We start from the raw sequence: 3,427 nt of genomic DNA, 5'->3' as shown, positions 1-3,427 counted from the left end.
TTCTTTCCTGTTTTCTTTTCCTTTCCCTGGGTTTTTTTCTTTTCTGTTTTGTTTTTTTTTTTTGAGGTGGAGTCACTCTGTCACCCAGGCTAGAGTGCAGTGGTGCAATTTTGGCTCCCTGCAACCTCCACCTACCAGGTTCAAGTGATTCTCCTGCCTCAGCCTCCTGAGTAGCTAGGATTACAGGTGCCTGCCACCACGTCTGACTTTTTTTTTTTTTTTTTTTTTGTATTTTTAGTAGGGATGGGGTTTCACCATCTTGGCCAGGCTGGTCTCGAACTCCTGACCTCGTGATCCACCCACCTCGGGCCTCCCAAAGTGCTGCGATTACAGACGTGAGCCACCGTGCTCGGCCTCCCTGATGTTATTTCCGGAAAGGGGTCCCGATGCAGACATGAAGAGAGGGGTCTTGGACCTTGTGCAAGAAAGAATTCAGGGCAAGTCCATAGAGTACAGTGCAAGCAAGTTTATTAGGAACGTAAAGGGATAAAGAACGGCTACTCCATAGGCAGAGCAGCGGCATGGGCTGCTCAGCTGCTTATACTTATAGTTATTTCTTAATTATATGCTAAACAAGGGGTGGATTATTCATGAGTTTTCCAGGAAAGGGGTGGGCAATTGCTGGAAGTGAGGGTTCCTCCCCTTTTCAGACCATATAGGGTGACTTCTGGGTGTTGCCATGGCATTTGTAAACGGTCATGGTGCTGGTGGGAGTGTCTTCTAGCATGCTGATACATTATAATTAGTGTATAAGGAGCAGGGAGGCTGACCAGAGGTCACTTTTGTCACCACCCTGGTTTTGGTGGGTTTCGGCCGGCTTTTTTACTGCAGGCTGTTTTATCAGCAAGGTCTTTGAGACCTGTATCTTCAGACCTATCTCATCCTGTGACTAAGAACGTCTTAACCTCCTGGGAATGCAGCCCAGTAGGTCTCAGCTTCATTTTACCCCGCCCCTATTCAAGATGGAGTTGCTCTAGTTCGAATGCCTCTGACATTTTCAGTCTACTTTTTTTTTCCTTTTGCCTCCCCAAATACTCCAGTGGTTCTTAACTGGGGGGTGACCCCCTCCATCCTTGCCCAGGGTCCATTCGGCAATGTCTGAAGAAATTTGAGGTTGTCATACAGAGAGGGGGATGCTCGTGGGTAGAGTAGAGACCAATGATTCAGCTCATCATCCTGTAATATTCAGGAAAGCCCTGCACAGCAAAGAATTGCCAAGTGCCCCACATATCAACAGCCAAGGCTGAGAAACCCTGCCCTCAGAGGGGGATAAGAGGCTGCACATGGGAAGCAGCCGGCCAGGACCTGCGCCATCGGAGTGATTGCCAATGATGCCATTCAAGTGCTATTGCAATTGGGAAGTCCGGCTTATTCATGATAAGGAAAGAAGAAAAAGTACACCGAACACTCGCGGGCTTTGGTTCTGAAGTTTATTCCTTTAGTAAGAATTCATCGACTTCCTTCCATGGGAAAGCCCCTGGGGTCCACAAAGGAACGAAACGTCTTGTTTTGTGGACAAGGTCACACAGAGGCCGTTAAGCCTAAATGTACAACCCGGGACGTAAACCCCAAGAGCACTGGGTGAGGGTCCCAGGAGGTCTATTGCCACTGGCTCTCTCTGTAACCCTGGGATCAACTGGAATGTTGCTAAATTCTTTCTTCCCAAATGCCAATAGGCATTTACTAGAGGGTGAGAAAAGGCATTCAGGAAGTGCAAACACGAGCCACTGCTTACACATCGGAGAACCTCAAACCTCAAAAACAGCCAAAGATAAATTATTTTCCTCAACCACTTCTCTCCCTTACAGCCACCACCACTGAACAAAGAAAAAGTCTGGAAGGTAAGGGAGAAGAATGCGGTTTGCATATCTAACAGCCCCTTGGAAGGTGAAACTAGCAGAATCACAGAGGATCAGCCTGAAAGGGGTAACAAGGTCGGGGCAGGGGGGTGGGTGGGGAGGTGATAAACTGTTCAGCTTCTAAAAACATGAGCTAAAAATACCCTGCACATGTCATTTACCAATTCCCGGGGCTGTTTAGACAATACTGTGATCAGACTGCAATTGATACGTTTTCCCCTCAGTGATTAAACACAGCCTGATTTTTAAGCACCAAACAGCTGCCTCCAGGTTTGTCTTGAAAAACCAATCTTTCATTTCTGTGTTTGATTGGCACACCAGGAGGTCCCAATCACAGCTCCTTTATCCCCAGCGCCTAAAATCAGGTGATATTCGGCTTCGGGAAGGGGCAGCTGAAAGGAGGCAAAGGGGAAAACGAGCGGAAGCAAAAGCTCCAATGAGAGAGGCTTCTAATCACAGGCAAGGAAGATACCAGCACCTTCTACCCAGCAGCTTTCTCCCGAAACCATGAAGGGCGGTAGGGGTGGAGATCAAGGAGATAAAATGACAACAGCCTGTGTCTCTGGAAATAATTAAATACTCCCCCTTCACACTGAGAGGGAGGGCAATAAATAGTTCAATACAATCAGGCAAAGCTTTTTAGGGACCTGGAGATTTTCAGTGAATGTGAGCAAAATGATTCTGCTTAAGAGCCTCCCTCCCCACCTACCTGTAGGGGCAGTGGGCTGAGCTGCAGGTGGTTTCTGCAGAAGCTGAGAGATGGATGTGTCCAGAGCCTCTGCATTTCTTTGAGAAGAGGGGGCGTCTGGGTTTTCTTTTGGGGCTGATGGAAAGGTTCTAAAGTTAGATAGCGGCGATGGTTGCACAATTTGGGGAATGTACTAAAAACCACAGAATTTCCCACTTTTGAAAGATGAATTTTATGTATGTAAATTACATTTCAATAAGGCTATTTTAAAAAGAAAATATATAAAATCAAGAAGCTACTCTACATAATTGTTTTTTTCTTTCGAAAAAGGGGGAGGGTGGTTTAGACACAAAGACTCTGGATTCGAATCCTGACTCTCCTGACTTGTAGCCGTGGGATTCTGGGGACCTACTCAGCCTCCCTGAAACCCAATTGTTCCATCTGTAAAGTGGGGATGTTAAAAATGTCCTTTCCTCGCAGGGCTGCTGTGAGGACGAGTGTGATGCTGTTTGTAGGAGCCCGACACAAGGGAAGTGCTCGCTGAGCTCTGCAGAATGAGATGAATGGATGGTTTGTAGGAGGCTGGAAAAGCTCCACTCACAGGTGCTTAGGTGGAAAAATGGGCTGGAAATGGGGTGAACCAACAACTTTCAGATGACAGGACTAGGGAACCCTGTGGTGACAGCGTAGTCTCCTCAGACCCTTGCATGATCACTTGCCCTAGAGCTGTAGCACCCGTAACAGCTGGCACTCATCGAGCACTTACTGTATGTGAGATACCTCACATGCACCTCATCTCATTGAATCTTTATTTCAACCCTAGAAGGCAGGTACTGTTAGATCCCCTTATTACCAACAGACAGAGCGTAGTCACTTGCAC

The 3,427-nt window shown here is 47.2% G+C and overlaps 1 annotated feature.

The window, feature by feature from the left end:
• Window positions 832–1,817: an enhancer, noted in NCBI's record as "H3K27ac hESC enhancer chr20:49709053-49710038 (GRCh37/hg19 assembly coordinates)". NCBI's record gives its function as "activates a minimal SCP1, AML or CMV promoter by ChIP-STARR-seq in primed H9 embryonic stem cells {active_cell/tissue: H9 hESC(primed)}" and the evidence as "EXISTENCE:reporter gene assay evidence [ECO:0000049][PMID:30033119]".

This window comes from Homo sapiens, chromosome 20, assembly GCF_000001405.40.
Source record: "Homo sapiens chromosome 20, GRCh38.p14 Primary Assembly".
NCBI classification, from domain to species: Eukaryota; Metazoa; Chordata; class Mammalia; order Primates; family Hominidae; genus Homo; species Homo sapiens.
The sequence above is the reverse complement of the archived record's forward strand: the minus strand, read 5'-3'. Positions and strand labels throughout refer to the sequence as shown.